This window comes from Homo sapiens, chromosome 6, assembly GCF_000001405.40.
Source record: "Homo sapiens chromosome 6, GRCh38.p14 Primary Assembly".
In the NCBI taxonomy this organism is placed as follows: Eukaryota; Metazoa; Chordata; class Mammalia; order Primates; family Hominidae; genus Homo; species Homo sapiens.
Window position 1 is genome coordinate 80,289,242 of NC_000006.12, and position 18,244 is coordinate 80,307,485.

Genomic DNA, 18,244 nt, shown 5'->3' on the forward strand with positions numbered 1-18,244 from the left:
GCTAAAAATAGCCATTTTAAAATTGATTCCATGAGTACTTTACGGGTTATACATAGTACATTGTTGAACTTCTCCCTTCTTTGAAATAGTGAGACTGCCAAGTATATCAGGAGATGAAGTGATTATCAAACTGCACTGATTAATAGCAAAAAGATCAAAGGAGACATAAGGTTAAGATGGCTGACTAGATGCAGCCAGGAAGTGCAGCTCCCACTGAGAGAGACCAAATTTTAGAGTAAACCACTGTAATCTGGGCAGATCTTCGGAGAGAAAATGCTCAGATTGGGTTGAGAGGCAATGTTAAAATGAAGGGTGAAGAGTAAGGAAGCTGGCAGCCCTGTGCTGGGTACCTGAATACCAGGGCTAGTTCCCAGCCCCGAATGGCTCTTGGGAAAGGGGTGAATGAGGAACTGAGGGAAAGCTCACTCTCACCGCCAGCCTCTGGGATCCTAGATCCTAGTTACAGAACTCCGTGTCTCCCCTGGATGTGTGAGCTGACAGGGGCATCTCCCTGGGGAGCAGGCAGAGACAGGCCGTTGGACAGCATGGAGCCCAAAAGTTTTCGTGCACTGGGGAGCTCCAGCAGAGAGCAGCCATAGAGCTGCTCTGTGGGGAGGGCTCTTCATCCCTTTCTGGGAGGTGTGGACCCCAGCTGACCTTCAAGCTAGGAGAGAGTGAAACCAGCTTCCCTGTGGGACTAGAGCACATCTATTCTGCAAGGCTTCCTGCCTGCTGGCCCCACCCAGGGTCACGCTTAGCCACCCTGTAGGAGTGAGTGCACAGCACAGCCCCTGCAGCACAGCCTGAGTATGTTGCTCTACCTGAGTACTTTCCTAGTGACTTGGAAGCACATTGGATCCTCCCAGTACAGCTGGAATGCCAACCTAATCCACAGGCTGTCCCAGTGCCCCCAGGGCTGCTTCATGCAGCATTTTGGGAGTAAGTAGCCAAGATCTGTGGCCAGCACTCAAGTCAGGTAGAAGGGGGCAAGATCTTCAGGTTACTGGGCTGGGGTGGGAGGGGAGCAGGGTATGCCTACCTCCACAGAGTTGATCCAGAGATAGTGAGGCATATCTTCCTCCTGCAGCCCCTGATCAAGAAGGCCCCAGAGCCTGAAACACCTAACAAAAGAAACATGGGCACAGCATCAGTGACTGGAAGGAGGCTCCCCCAAGGCCCAGGAGCAGACCTGGTGAGGGGGCCATGTCTCTCCCCCGCCCACTGCGGAGCATGCCTGGGAACATGAGGAAGAACGAAAGAGCCTCATGGTGGGGTATTAACTTACCTAATTAATGGCCATTACTCCTAAGCACCATCTAATGGATTGCATTGAGACTACAGCACCAAAAATTTATCCCACTACTATATGCTCCTTTGAAATCCAGCACAAGAATTTGTTACCAGAAAGTGGTCCCAATTCAGACCCCAAGAGAGGGTTTTTGGATCTCTTGCAAGAAAGAATTCAAGATGAGTCCATAAATTGAAAAAGCAAGTTTATTAAGAAAGTAAAGGAATAAAAGAATAAAAGAATGGCTACTCCATAGACAGAGCAGCCCCAAGGGCTGGTGGTTGCCCATTTTTATAGTTATTTCTTGATTATATGCTAAACAAGGGATGGATTATTTATGCCTCCCCTTTTTAGAACACATAGGGGTAACTTGTTGACATTGTATGGCACTTGTAAACTGTCATGGTGCTGGTGAGAGTGTAGCAGTCAGGATGACCTGAGGTCACTCTCATTGCCATCTTGGTTTTGGTGGGTCTTAGCCAGCTTCTTTACTGCAGCCTGTATAATCAGCAAGGTCTTTATAATCTGTACCTTGTGCCAACCTCCTATCTCATCCTGTGAATTGGAATGCCTAACTGTCTGGGAATGCAGTCCAGTAGGTCTCAGCCTTATTTTACCCAGCCTTTATTCAAGATGGAGTTGCTCTGGTTCAAACGCCTTTGACATTTCTCCCCTCCCTTAAAAGAACCCTTAATCTTAAGGGTTACAGAGGGATGAAGATCAATCTTCTGTAACTTCTTGATGCTGAAAAGAAGCGATGACATTCCTCTCTAATTGTCAGGGTGTCTTGCATTCAGGGTAGAGAGGAGCTCAGTCAGAAATCATCGGTATGTCAAGGGCCATTTATAATTCTTGAGTTCTGACAGAATGTGATATCTGGAATATTAATAAGTATTTAAGAAAACATTCAGTAAGACTATTCTGCATTCCTGCACAAAGAGTACAACAGCAATATATTTCACAATGGTAAAGCAAGATCAGCAAAATTATCCCAAGTAAACTAAATAAGAAGGTTTTCCATGAACTCGGCAACTGCTGGAACCAAGCTGATATGGGGTTACTAGCTGATTCCACTATGTGTCCAGAATTAGAATATTGATCTAATTTCTACATTATCCATCCCTTTTGTTTTTTTTTCTGAGTAGCAGCCAGAGATCACTGGTTGGTTCACAGGAGTAAGCAGGGTTAGTCTAAATTGTAGGAAAAACCTCAAAAATAACTGATGAGACTAGAATTTAATAACAAGTGTACCACAGTTCTTGAAACATAATTTTTTTCGTCTCTTCAGTTTTATATTTTTACTAAAGACATAGTGGTAAGACCAAGTTGTTTTATTATACTTGGCCTATTTGTATAAAGTGCAGCAAGAATAATTATTTTTCACATAAGCTGTTTTTAAATTGGCTTTGATGGAACTCTGTTCCATGAAAGGAATCTTAGATAAGACTTCTTAAAAGCTGAGCCCTGCCATGGGTTTGTACCCTCAAGGACCTAGGAGTTGGGTAAATTCCCCTCCTTTTATGGTCTGAAGATAACTTGGGGCTCCTGGGCCTGTCATACAGTGACATTTTGTTACTTACCACAGGTCAGGAACCCTGTACAGGAACTGTGTAGACAAGGTATGAGGCCAGTTTTCCCAAGGGTCTTTTATTGGCTCTATAAGTTAAGTTTGATTCCTCAAAGGAAAGCACACCATTTCAGTTAAAGCCTTGGTGTATTAGTCTATTCTCACACTGCTGATAAAGACATACCTGATATTGGGTAATTTATAAAGGAAAGGGGTTTAGTTGACTCACAGTTCCACATGGCTGGAGAGACCTCACAATCATGATGGAAGAGCAGGGGAGGTCTTACAAGGCAGCAAGCAAAAGAGAACATGTGTAGGGAAACTCCTCTTTATAAAACCATCAGATCGCGTGAGACTTATTCACTGTCACGTGAACAGCCTGGGGAAGACCCATCCCCATGATTCAGTTACCTCCCACCGGGTCCCTCCCATGACGTGGGAATTATGGAACCTACAATTCAAGATGAGATTTGAGTGGGGGCACAGCCAAACCATATCATTCCACCCCAGCCCCTCCCAAATACCATGTCCTCACATTTCAAAACCAATCATCCCTTCCCAGCAGCCCCCCAAAGTCTTAACTCATTTCAGCATTAACTAAAAAGTCCACAGTCCAAAGTCTCATCCAAGACAAGGCAAGTCCCTTACACCTGTGAGCCTGTAAAATCAAAAGCAAGTTAGTTACTTCCTAGATACAGTGGAGCTACAGGCATTGAGTAAATACACTCGTTCCAAACAGAAGTTGGCCAAAACAGAAGGGCTACAATGCCCATACAAGACTGAAATCTAGCGAGGCAGTCAAATCTTAAAGCTCCAAAATGATCTTCTTTGACTCCATGTCTCACATCCAGGTCAGGCTAATGCAAGAGGTGGGTTCCCATGGTCTTGGGCAGAGCTGCCCCTGTGGCTTTGCAGGGTACAGCCCCTCTCCTGGCCACTTTCTCAGGCTGGCATTGAGTGTCTGTGGCTTTTCCAGGTGCACAGTGGAAGCTGTCAGTATATCTACCATTTTGGGGTCGAGAGGACGGTGGCCCTCTTCGCACGCTCCACTAGGGAGCACCCCAGTGGGGACTCTGTATGGGGACTCCCATGTTACATTTTCCTTCCACACTGACCTAGCACAGTTTCTCCCGGAGGGTTCTACCTCTGCAGCACACCTCTGCCTGGACATCCAGATATTTCCACACATCCTCTGAAATCTAAGCCTAGGTTCCCAAACTGCAATTCTTGATGTTTCTGCACCTGCAGGCTTAACACTACGTGGAAGCTGCCATGGCTTGAGGCTTGCACCCTCTAAAGCCACAGCCCAAGCTGTGCCTTGGCCCCTTTTAGCCACAGCTGGAGTGGCTAGAATGCAGGGCATCAAGTCCCTAGACTGCACACAGCAGGGGCTGGCCTGGCCCAGGAAACCATTTTTTGCTCCTAGGCCTCTAGGCCTGTGATGGAAGGGGCCACCGTGAAGGTCTCTGACATGCCCTGGAGACATTTTCCCATTGTCTTGGTGGTTAACATTGGGCTCCTTATTATTCAAATTTCTGCAGCTGGCTTGAATTTCTCCCCAGGAAATGGGTTTTTCTTTTCTATTGCATTGTCAGTCTGCAAATTTTCCAAACTTTTATGCTCTGTTTCCCTTTTAAAACTGAATGCTTTTAACAGCACCCAAGTCACCTCTTGAATGCTTTGCTGCTTAGAAATTTCTTCCACCAGATACCCTAAATCATCTCCCTCATGTTCAAAATTCCACAAATCTCTAGGGCAGGAGCAAAATACCACCAGTCTCCTTGTATAACAAGAGTAACGTTTACACCATTTCCCAACAAGTTCTTCATCTCTATCTGAGACCACCTCAGCCTGGACCTTATTGTCCATATCACTATCCGCATTTTGGTCAAAGCCATTCAACAAGTCTCTAGGAAGTTTCAAACTTTCCCACATTTTCCTGTCTTCTTCTGAGCCCTCCAAACTGTTCCAACCTCTGCCTATTACCCAATTCCAAAGTCAGTTCCACATTTTCACATAGCATCTCACTTTACTGGTGTTACAGGAAGTCAGGGACCCCGAATGGAGGGACCGGCTGGAGCTGCGGCAGAGGAACATAAATTGTGAAGATTTCATGGACATTTATCGGTTCTCAAATAATACTTTTATAATTTCTTATGCCTATCTTTACTTTAATCTCTTAATCCTGTTATCTTCATAAGCTGAGGATATACTTCACCTCAGGACCATGGTGATAATTGTGTTAACTGTACAAATTGATTGTAAAACATGTGTTTGAACAATATGAAATCAGTGCACCTTGAAAAAGAACAGAATAACAGTGACTTTTAGGGAACAAGGGAAGACAACCGTTAGGTCTGACCGCCTGTGGGGTTGGACAAAAAGAGCCATATTTTTCTTCTTGCAGAGAGCCTATAAACCGATGTGCAAGTAGGAGACATATCGCTAAATTATTTTCCTAGCAAGGAATATTTATATCAATGCCCTGGGAAAGGAATGCATTCCTGGGGGAGGTCTATAAACGACCACTCTGGGAGTGTCTGTCTTATGTGCTTGAGATAAGGACTGAGATACACCCTGGTCTCCTGCAGTACCCTCAGACTTATTAGGGTGGGGAAGAACTCCGCTCTGGTAAATTTGTGGTCAGACCGGTTCTCTGCTCTCAAACCCTGTTTTCTGTTGTTTAAGATGTTTATCAAGACAACACATGCATCACTGAACATAGACCCTTATCAGTAGTTCTCCTTTTGCCCTTTGGCTTGTGACCTTTATTGGACCCTTATCAGTGGTTCTGCTTTTTCCTTTTGTCCTGTTCCCTCAGAAGCATGTGATCTTTGTTCTGCTTTTTGCCTTTTAAAGCCTGTGATCTTTGTACCTACTCCCAGTTTTACACCCCCTCCCCTTTTGAAACCCTTAATAAAACACTTGCTGGTTTGAGGCTCAGGTGGGCATCACAGTCCTACCGATATGTGATGTCACCCCCAGCAGCCCAGCTGTAAAATTCCTCTCTTTATACTGTCTCTCTTTATTTCTCAGCTGGCCAGAACTTATGGAAAATAGAAAGAACTACATTGATATATTGGGGGTGGGTTCCCTCGATATACTGGTATCAATTTACTGTATTAGTGTGTTCTCATACTTCCGATAAAGACATACCTGAAACTGGGTAATTTATAAGGATAAAGGATATAATGGACTTACACTTCCACATGGCTGGGGAGGCCTCATAATCATGGCAGAAGACAAAGGAGGAGCAAAGTCACATCTCGTGTGGTGGCAGACAAGAGAGAGTGTGTACAGGGGATCTCCCCTTTATAAAACCGTCAGATCTCATGATACTTACTCACTATCACAGAACAGCATGGAAAAGACATGCCCCCATGATTCACTTACCTCCCACCGGATCTCTCCCATGACATATGGGAATTATGGGAGCTACAGTTCAAGATGAGATTTGAGTGGTGACACAGCCAAATCGTATTACTTGGTAAAATAACCAGTTTCTCCAATTGTGTCCTGTTACCAGAAAAAAAAAAAAAAAAGATTCTTATTGCACTTACACTAATAAGTATATTGTCATAAGTTAAGAATACTCACAACTAGTTTGCAAATTTGGAGAAAGTAGGTAGAAACAAATACGCTCCAAATTTTGTTCAGGGGAACTCCTCTTTATAAAACCATCAGATCTTGTGAGACTTATTCACTATCATGTGAATGGTCCAGGGAAGACCCACCCCCATGATTCAGTTACCTCCCACCGGATCCCTCCTATGACACGTGGGAATTATGGAACCTACAGTTCAAGATGAGATTTGAGTGGGGGCACAGCCAAACCAGTAATGTAAAATACAGGAGTATACTTTACTCAATTGTTAAAAGCTATTAATACCTCAAAAGTTTCCTTGATGCTGCAAAACAAAACAAAGGATCAGCAATGTTTGAAGCAAAGTCAACAAGATTACTTTAGTGTTCTATTAGTTCAGTTCATGCAGTTAACTCCTGTTCTGCTTGATATTTATGAACATTTCACCTGTCTATGAGAGTCCTGAAAGTTTTTTACCTCTATTCTAATGTTACAATCACCATAGTTATCAGAAACCTGCATTTAAGTGCACCTGTCAAAGTCTTATAGCTGATTATAAACCACCTTTTGAAGAGGATTAAAACAAGACAACAATTGTCTGTGAATGATAAAATGTCTTAGGAAAAAACCACAGTCAAAAACACAATTGACAAGGAAATTTGGTTACCTCTGTGGCATACAGTGATTTTATGTAGCCATTATAATTATTAATAACATACAGTTATTCATATTGGAATTGTAGGAGTTTCCCATAAGTTTGGAACACATATGAAACATATTTATACAAATACAGTCCAAAGACAACATCACTCCTGTATGATTTTAATATATCAAATAAGCCAAATTTTACCTTTACATTAGTGTGCTATTATTGATAAACCAAATTTTTAATAAAACCTTATAAACAAATCTGTTTAACCTTAATTAATTTGACCATAAGGTAATAGTCTCATAAACCTTTTATAACCCTTTACATTTTTTTTTAATGAGCAGATCAGTGCTATGAAAAACCTGTTGTGCTTTTATTCCAATGTTTAATTTATGGAAAAACTGAATGATGCCCTTTTAACTTTAGCCAATATGTTCACACACAGAATCTCTTTTACAATTAATTTTTCACAAACCTTCCACAACTGGCTTAAACCTTCAGCTTTATTTTATCTAACTTAAAACAATTATTTAACCTTTTAATCTTAGGGAAAAAAATCCTCATTCCCCTGCCTTCTTATAATCTTTTACCAAAAAACACATTTCACTTTCTTTACACAGCTTGCATGTAAAACTGTTTTTAGTAGTCTCAATTATGTGTTATAGCGTTAACTCTTAGTGACTTTTACTTTTGATGAAAACCTTGGTAAGAGATTTTAATTAGGTACTAGGTGTGGAGTCTAGGACAATGGACAGAAGTGCAGATAAGGGCGACTGTTTCCAGCATAGCAAGGGGGCATGGCTTTCCACATGTCCCAGGTCTTATGTAATACACAATGATCCAATGTAGGTAAATTGAACAGTTTTCCAAAGTCAAAGAAGCAGTTTATGACCCTAAACTACTTAGAAAACCTAATATCTGACCTGCCTAATTTGGACCAAATGTTTAAATTTTGAAGATATCTTTATTTTGTCAATAATTTTTGAAACTGCCTTCATTTCCAAAAGATTACTAAAGTCATATGAAGTAAATGACATTACACATTTTACTTTTCTGACAAACTATTTGATTTAAGCACTTACTATTTTTAAACTAATCAAAGTTTTTTCATATATAAACATCGCACACACACACACCATGTACAAATACATAGAGAGACAGAAGGTCCAGTAGTTGTAAGATTTTTCATTTCCAGTTTTTAAGTTTCTCTTTAAAGCATGCCTTTTCCAGGGTCTAATAAGCAGACACAGCTGGAAAGCAAAACTGATTTCCAAAAATTAAGGGTCCCATTTTTATTACCAGATCCTGGATCTCAAAAAGATGGAATTAACCAGCCTCCCATGGGAATCTTACCTCTCAGTGGAGAGTGAGGACATTTCCATAACTTGTAGGTGGCCAAGACCATGTTTCTCTGATCCATACTTGCAGAGATGAGTATCTCCCATAACTGCCATTAGCTAGCCCCAAAAGTATATTTCCTACCTAGTTATTACATACCAAAGCTCTCTCATAATGTGAAGCAATTTCTGATGCCCCCAGTGTCAAAAATGTCACACAATGCAGTGCAAAACAGAACAGAGCCTTAAATTTTGAGAGGGATTTATCCACTTCCAATTCCTGGGCTTTTATGAGAAAAACAGAGGATTTTTTTTTTCCCCCAAAATAGGGTCTGTGCTGCCTCCTCTGTTTTTTTCAAGGAGTCCCAGGCTGTTAGAGCTTGAATATATGCTTTTAATTAAGCTGATGTTTAACTATAGCACTCTTTAAAAAATGCCCTTTTAAATTTCTTTCTTTTTTTTTCCTAGACAGAGTCTCACTCTGTCACCCTGGCTGGAGTGCAGTGACACAATCTCTGCTCACTGCAACCTCTGCCTCCTGTGTTCAAGTGATTCTCATACCTTAGCCTCTCAAGTAGCTGGGATTACATGCATGTACCACCATGCCTGGCTAACTTTAGTATTTGTGGTAGAGACAGGGTTTTGCCATGTTGGCCAGGCTGGTCACACCTGGCCTCAAGTGATCCACTTGCCTCGGCCTCCCAAAATGCTGGGATTACAGGCATTAGCCACCATGCCTGCCCCTTTTAAATTTCTTATTACCTGATTTTAGCCATACCAAGTGGCCAATATGTCTGGCTTTTGGGCTTTACCAAATGTAACCTCCAAGTGCTCAGAGAATGGAAAAATTCAAGTTTTGTGGAGGAGAGGAGAATTAACAAATGGTAAAGGTAGAACAGATATCAAATCAGAAAGGACTCATTCCCTAAGCCAGGCCACCATTGTGATGATGGAGACCAAAAGAAAGTACTGCCACATGGTTACAGGTTCATGTTCCCAAGGACATTTCTCAATGTGTGGTCTCTGGGCAAGATGGTCACCCTAAGTAACAGAGAAGATTGGAAAAGGAAAGGAGAGAGAGGAAAGCGTTGCCTGTGGCAGGGTGGGGAAGATGAAGAGTTCAGTGAGGCCAAAGAAAGACCCACTCATTGCAGCCAACGCTGAATCAGAAGTTCAGTCTGCTGTTTGTTGGTCATGAAAGGATCTTTTCTGGCAGTCCCATCAGCTCTTAAGTTTCCCCCTTTAGGGAGAGAAAAAGCGCCCCATGTCCTATGGTCCCGTATATGCCTAATTCTGTCACCCATAGCCGTCAACAAAGATTGCAAGGCAGATTAATCCAAAGAGAATACCAGTTAACATCCCATAGTGCCAAACCCATTCTTAACTGAGAGGTACTTTACTGAAAGGGTCTTTCTAACTCCCTAAATTTTAGGAAGGACTCTAACCTTCCTAAGTTGAGCCTCAAACCAAGTTTGCTCAAGCATCCTTGCCTTTTATTAAGAGGGGCCTTTAACCCACTCTGTCTTAGGAGAGACTCTTAATTCCCCTAAATTGAGTCTTTAACCCAATCCCATTCTTTACCCAGGCAAATGCACCCCACTTACCCAAAAGTCAGCCAGTTGGTGTGTGTGTGCAGATGATTTTCCTTTGGGTCGGAGGGTCTCCTCAATATGGTCCCTTCTGTGTTTGGCCAGAAAGATGTTACCAGACGCCACCACTTACCTCAAGTTAGCCTTTGGTTCGGGGGTTTCCTCAGTATTTTTCCATCTGGGTCACCAGAAAGATGTTACTGGAAGGGGGTCCCAATCCAGACCCCAAGAGAGGGGTTCTTGGATCTCGTGCAAGAAAGAATTTGAGGTGAGTCCATAAAGTGAAAGCAAGTTTATTAAGAAAGTAAACTTTATAGAAAAGAAATTCCAACCAAGAATTTCATATCCTGCCAAACTAAGCTTTATAAGTGAAGGAGAAACAAAATCTTCCTCAGACAAGCAATTGTTGAGGGAATACATTTCATCTAGACCAGTCTTAAAGACATCCTTAAAGAGTGCTAAACACGGAATCAAAAGAACAAAACCTGCTACAACGAAAACATATAAGTATATAACCCACAGCCACTATAAATCAACTACACAATCAATTTTACATAACAGATAGCTAACAACATGGGGAAAAGGTTAAAATAATACATACCAACCTTGAATGTAAATGGGCTAAATTCCACACTTAAAAGAGACACAGTGGCAGGCTTGATATAAAGACAAGACGAAAGCATCTGTTGTCTTCAGTAGACCCATATCACATGTAATGACATAGACAGACTCAAAGAAAAGGATGGAGAAAGACCTATCATGCAAACGGAAAACAAAAGAGGAACAAGAGCCACTAGTCTTTTTTTTTTTTTTAAAGACAGGACCATATTCCCACTGCCCAGACTGGAGCGTAGCGCTATGATCTCAGCCCACTGCATCCTTGACTTCCAGAGCCCAGGTGATCCTCCCACCTCAGCCTCCCAAATAGCTGGGACCACAGGCCGTGCCACCATGCCCAGCTAATTTTAGTTGTTTTTAGTAGAGTCAGGGCTTCACCATGTTGCCCAGGCTTGTCTCAAAATCCTGGGCTCAAGCGATCCACACATCTCAGCCTCTCAAAGTGCTGGGATTACAGATGTGAACCACCATACCTGGGCAGGAGCCACTATTCTTATATCAGTAAAACAGACTTTAAGTCAATAAAAGGAAGGACAATGAAGGGCATTACATAATGATAAAGGGTACAATCCAATAAAAAGCCATAACTGTCCTAAATGTATACATACCCAACATTGAAGCAGCCAGTTTCATAAAACAGTTTCTTCTTGGCCTATGAAAAGACTTCGACAACCACACAGTAATAGTAGGAGACTTCAACAAGCCACTGACAGTGTTAGAAATATCACTGAGGCAGAAAACTAATAAACTCTGGATGTTAACTCAACATGTGACCAACTGGACCAAATGGACATCTACAGAACACTCCATCCAACTACTGCAGAATATATATTATTTTCATGTGCATGTGGGACATAGATTCTAAGAGCAACCACATGCTCAGTCATAAGGCAAATCTTAATAAATTTAAAAACAAATGAAATCATACCAAGCATATTCTCAGACCACAGTGCAATAAAAATATAAATCAATATCAAGAAGAGCTCTCAAAGCTACACAAATACAATTAAACAATTTGCTCCTGAATAACTACACAAAATAAATTAAACAATTTGCTCCTGAATAACTCCTGGGTGAACATAGAAATTGTCAGAAATAAAAAAAATTAGAAATTAATGAAAATAGGGACACAATTTACCAAAATCTCTAGGATGCAGCCAAAGCAGTGTTAAGAGAAAAGTTTATAGCCCTAAAAGGCTTTCATTAAGAAGTTAGAAAGGTTTCGAATTAACAATCTAACTTTTCACCTAAAGGAACTAGGAAGGAAAAAAAAAGAACAACCCTAAAGCTAGCAGAGGAAAATAAATAACAAAAATTAGAGAACTTAATGAGATTGAGATGCAAAAATCCATACAAAAGATCAATGAAACCAAGAGGTCGTTCTTCAAAAAAACAATAAGATTGACAGAACACTAGCTAGATTAACAAAGAATAAAATCAGAGAAGATCCAAATAAGTACAATTCGAGTTTATAAAGATGACATAACAGCTGATCCCACAGAGATCCTCATAGAATACTGTGGACAATTCTGTGCACACAAACTAGAAAATCTACAGGAAATTGTCAAATCCCTGGAAACATACAACCTCCAAAGATTGAACCAAGAAGAGAGTGAACACTTGGAACAGACCAATAACAAGTTAGGAAATTGAATCATTAAGCGCCATGAACCAGATAGATTCACAGTCAAATTCTACCAGACATACAAAGAACTGGTACCAATCCTACTGAAACTCTGCTTAAAAATCAAGGAGAAGGGGCTTCTCCCTAACTAATTCTACAAAGACAGCATCAGCCTGATACCAAAATCTCGCAGAGACACAACAACAAAAGAACACTTCAAGCCAATGAACATAGATGCAAAAATCCTCAACAGAATACTAGCAAACCGAATTCAGTAGCACATCAAAAAGTTAATACACTATGATCAAATAGGCTTTATTCCTGGGATACAAGGCTGGTTCAATGTAAGCAAATCAATAAATGTCATTCACCACACAAACAGAACTAAAAGAATTACTGGGATAATCTACTGATTACCTCAGTAGATGCAAAAAAAACTTTTGATAAAATTCATATCTCTTTATGATAACCCTCAATAGGCTAGGCATTGAAGGAACATACCTCAAAACAATAAAAGCCATCTATGACAAACCCACAGCTAACATCATACTGAATGAGCAAAAGCTGGAACCATTCCACTTGAGAACCGGAACAAGACAAGGATACCCACTCTCACCAATCCTATTCAAGATAGTACTGGAAGTCCTGGCCAGAGCAATCAGGCAAGAGAAAGAAATAAAAGGCATTCAAATAAGAAATGAAGAAATCAAACTGGCTCTCTTCATTAAAAATATGATTTTATACTTAGAAAACCCTACAGACTCTGCCAAAAGGCTACTAGAACTGATAAACAATTTTAGCAAGGTTTCAGGATACAAAATCAATGTACAAAAATCAGTAGCATTTCTATATACAGTAATGTCTAATTGAAATATATACTAAATTATTTTTAAAACAACTTTTAGATTTTTTCTTACAAATTTTTGCAATGATGTTGTGAGGATGCTTTCCTTTTGCAAAAGGCTTATTACATACCTTTTCCTTTTGCAAAATGTTTAGTTCTGTAATCATGACATAATCAACATGAGACATGTTAGAGGATTGGATGTTCAAAATGCTGACTTTCCTGGCAAAACCTATGTTGTCAAGTAGGTGATAAAAGTGTTTTCTAATAAAACAAGCACAGTGCTTATTTGTTATATGTCAGTGCAAACCAAATGAGCTTGAGTTTTCTAGCTGGTCGAATTTTAAACACAACAACCAGTTATTTCTATCGATTGCACTTATCCATTTGTTTAGCTTTAAACCATATTCTGGATTTGTTGTTTTGTCCCATTACACTGTTAAAGGAAAAAGAGAAAATATTCCATGAAGTTTTGCTGAGACAAAATTTTGGAATAAAATGAAATATGAGCTATGCTGTAAAACAAACATTGCAATATGAACATATGGAATGAAGCAGCTTTATTGGAAAACTCAGATCTGTGGAGGTGGCAGCACTCATGTTTGAGATTCACAAATGTTAGTGTTAGCTTAAGTGGGATAATGATGCTTAAAAAAAGAGCAGAATTTCCAGTGTGCACAGAGAAAAATACTGATAAGACTTGATTTATTAAAAGTAGGAAGTAAAGTCAAGTCATATACAGAAAAGTCCTCACCTATTACCTGAACTCAAAGGGTAATTCTTTTGTATTGTATGGCTTCAGTTAGTTGGATTTACGTAATCTTTTATTTTTTAATTTAGCATTAAATGCTTTATATATATATATTTATTATGCCTTAAGTTCTAGGAAGCGGATTTGCATAATCTTATGTCAGTATCCACTGGCATCGAGGTGGAGCCACTCTAATAAATCCTGCAGGCTAGATGGAGAAAGAAAGTTTTTTAATTTATTTAACGAGTTAAGTTCACTTACATATTGTAACTGAATAAGTCTGGCAAAAATAGATGACAGACAAAAGAACCTTAGAGAACATCCAACACAGTTTCCCATCTCATCTGCTTTGATCTCTCCTGATCTCCTTTCAACTTCTTCAAATGCCTGGGAACATGCCCACACCAACCTAAACATGGATGGACACAAGCTTCTGCATAAGAGCCAGAAAGGATACTGACACAATTGAAATTGAGCATTTGGCGTTCATCTATGTCAAGCAGAAATAGATTATAAATCCGTGTGAAATTAAAAATAGATAAGTACATAAAATCCATGCGTGTGTGTGTGTGTGTGATCTGCTTCAGCAACTCATCATTTCTTCCTTTAAACTTCTGTAAAGAGAGGTAGGGCACAGCAAATAGACCTAAGGAACTTGAGTTAAAAATTTACAAAGCATCACTTTATGACACCTCTAATTAACTCCCTCTCCTTTGAAAGAATGGAGACCACTAGAGAAGTGGTCTGTTACCTTAAATGAGTCATTTCAATTCTGAGTGAGGCATGAATTTACTTAATGTCATAGCTTTAGGAAATTTGATCACCATATTCCTTTAAGTTATTAGTAATTTAATAGGGAAAAAGTAAGACATGGAATGAAATGAAAGATTATTTTATGTGAATTTTTGTGAACAGAGGAATATTAGAAAGAAATAGGGTTTAGGAAATAGTCTATAATTTGCTGAAGATAAGTCTATGGTAGTAAGTGATTAATTCAGAAGTAGTTACATCCTGATAAAATCAAATACTTTATGCTTGTGAAAATTCGAACACAGTATAAGAAAGTAGACATGTGAGCAATACTGTGGTATTTTTGTACATTCTTCAGTTGGAAGATTCTTCACTTGTAGTAGGCTTTTGGCAGATCTGGGTCATTGTTATCCTAGGCAGAGTTGGGGTGGGGTAGAGATTGGTTAATACCTTTTGCCATTGCTACATTTTGGATTTTGAATTTCTGAATCTGGCTAAGTTTGCAATACATTTTTATTCTCTAATGTTTCCTAAAAATTCTGACTTTCCTAGCAAAGTGAAAACTGTTAAAGGTGACTCAAGAAGAAAAAGAAAACTCAAATCTTCCTATAGCATGAGAGAAACTGAACCATTAGCTTATTTTTCCTTAATGATAGCACTAGGCTCAATTGATTTTATTGGTAAGTTTTACTGGAGCTCAATGTTTTATACACAGTGTTCTAGAAGATTGATGAGAAAACCTAGCCCATCTCATTTTATAAATTTTGTGTAACTTCAAAACCAGACAAGGATAATTAAAGAACACAAAACTGTAAATCAATCTCACTCAGAAACATAGGTGCAAAGTTTTTATAGCAAACTGAATCCAGAAGTTTTCCAGACCAAGTTGGGTTTATTCCAGGAATGGCAGATTGACCTAACATTAGACATTGTATTAATATAATTTATTACATTGATTGACTAAAAAGAAAACTATACCATTTCAGTGCATGCAGAAAGAGCATTTAGTAACATTAAGTACCAGCTTATCATTAAAAGAAGAAATTAGAAACTTCCTTTACCTGATAAAGGTTATCTACCAAAAACCTGTAACAACCACTATATTTAATGGTAAAATATTGGAAGCATTAGCTTTAATATCAGAAACCATGAAACCTACTGAAACTAATTATATTTATTGTTGTACTCGATGTCCTAGGACAGGAGGTAAAAGAAATAAAAATGCCGTTCATTGACAGAATATGATTTTCTACATAGAAAATCTAATTTAGGCCATATATACTGCTTATTAGAATTAATTGGAGTTTAACAATGTTGCTATAGATAAACATCAATACAAATTGAAAATAAAAACTTTAAAAAACATCAGTATCTATGGTAGTGACTATAGGTATCTGGGGATAATCTTTAAAAAATCATTTGAGACCTTTATGGAAAAATTATGACTTAAAATAATTAACATTTTTTAAAAAAGACTATGTTCACAGATAGATTCATTGCAATATAAGTTGTTGCTTAATGGATCTCTAGAGTCAGTCCAATTTCTAAGAAAACCAAGTGGGTTTTTTTTTGAAAAATTATGACTTAATTAAAAAAAATTTAAAAATGTTTTTTAAAAGACTGTATTCATAGCTAGAGACATTTATTGCAATTTAAGTTGTTATTTAATGGCTCTCTAGGGTCTGTCCAAGTTATAACAAAATCAAGCTCTCTTTTTTTCTTGAAATGTGACAAATTGATTCTAAAATGTTGTAGATGAGTAAGAGCCCAAAATAACCAAGATACTCCAAAGAAGAACTGAGTGAGGGCTGATTTCTGCTACATGTTGAAGCAAAGGAGCCCCCCACATGTAGATGTTGTGGACATCACTTGTCTCTGTCCCTTAAGAGACCCCAAAACACACAGCACTGATGACACCTGTTCTGCCTCTCACCTACCATGGGACCAGATGAGGTTGATTTAACTTGACTTGTCCTCCTAGGATGTTCCTCCTATCTTACTGAACTGCTCTTGGGGATTAAATGACAAGGAATATAATAATGCCTAATACAGGGAGGACTTTGACAGTGATTCAGCAGTGAATCTAGAGCCAGCCTGCCTGAATTCAAATCTCAGCACTACTTCTTATTTGCTGGGTGGTTAATCTTTCTCTGCTTCAGTTTTCTCATCTGGAAAATGGAAAAAATAGCAGTACTTCTTCCATATGGCTATCGTGAAGATTAAGTGAATTAATACATGTAAAACTGGAACATCACCTGGCACATAGTGCTCAGCAAGTATTAGCTCTTCTTTTCATTTTGTTTACACCTTTATTCTTTTCATCAAAATGCTTTCATCCTTGTGTTACTCTTTGACAATACTTTGCATTAAGTTTAATTTAATGTTAAATTGTATTCAAATAGTACATACCTTAAGTGATAAACACAATAACATATTTATTTAACATGTGAATAGTGAACACCTGGTATAGGCTGAGGTTTAAAGTGTCTAGGAGGTCAAATAACTATCAGTTTATTAGGGAGATATTTTTCAATGAACAGCATGATTACTGAGATCCACTACAATGGGGATATGTAAATAGTACAGTCTAAACATAAAAAAAGGGTGCCTGAGTGAACCTAAGCAAATCAGTCCAGAAGACTTCATAAAGAATATAGGATTTTCTCTGAGATTGATGAATGAGTAAGTGTCCTGGACACATAAACATATAAGCCAGCCATTCACAGAAATCAGTTAATTAAAAACCTTTGCAAGGTGTGGCAACAGTGTGTGTTGATAGACACCAACAAATCAGATCAATAATTTCATTTCCTTAATGGCAAATGATACAGAAAATTATGGAAACAGATAAATCAGATGATGACACAGCATACTGTCACATGGAGATATATCTTTTCATTTTTTCATGGAGTCTTACAGCTGTGGATTCATAGCAGGCTTGAGTACTCTCATTTCCTTTATCCTGACCCCAGCTTCCTTGTGGAAGTTGGCTTGATGCCTCCTGGAGGCTCTTCTTCTGGAGACTTGATATGAGGCTACCTGGTAACTGAAAGCAAGTGACTGGTACATGTAAAGAACAATACAGTCCTAGATGGTGGTTACAGTGAGGTCAGAGTCAGTTTCCAGAAGTATTCATTGGACCAACCTCCAGCATATCCCAGATATGTTCCTCATATTGAGCCGGGGTCCTCAAGCCTCTCTCATCATTTAAGTTACATAACTAGTAGCTAAGTCTGAGACTCGCTCCCTAGTCCTTCAACTTGTCTTCACCACCAACTTTTCTTTCCCAAGAGGCATAATGGCCTTGAAGAAACAGCTTTATTTAATCATACAGACTGCAGTTAGAACCTACTACTTATTAATAGCTGTGTTTTCTTAAGAAACTTATTTTCATGTATAAATATAAATCTCAATTCCTTATTTGTAAACTGAGGATGATTATAGCTAACATATAGGGTTCCATGAGCTAACATATACAAAGTGGCTTGTGCATTGACAGATATTTAATAGGAATGTAATAAATTGTTTATATTCTTTTTTCCATATTCTAAAATTGAACTGTATCCAATATTAAATCCACCTGCCCCCTCTGTCAATATTCTGTGCTTCACAGTGCTAATGATTTTCTATTACATTTTTTTCAG

At 39.0% G+C, this 18,244-nt stretch overlaps 1 protein-coding gene across 19 annotated transcripts in view; it reads left to right on the plus strand.

The window, feature by feature from the left end:
* Nucleotides 1-18,244, plus strand: part of BCKDHB (branched chain keto acid dehydrogenase E1 subunit beta) — a 360,067-nt gene that overhangs the window by 182,632 nt on the left and 159,191 nt on the right. The window lies entirely within an intron of this gene.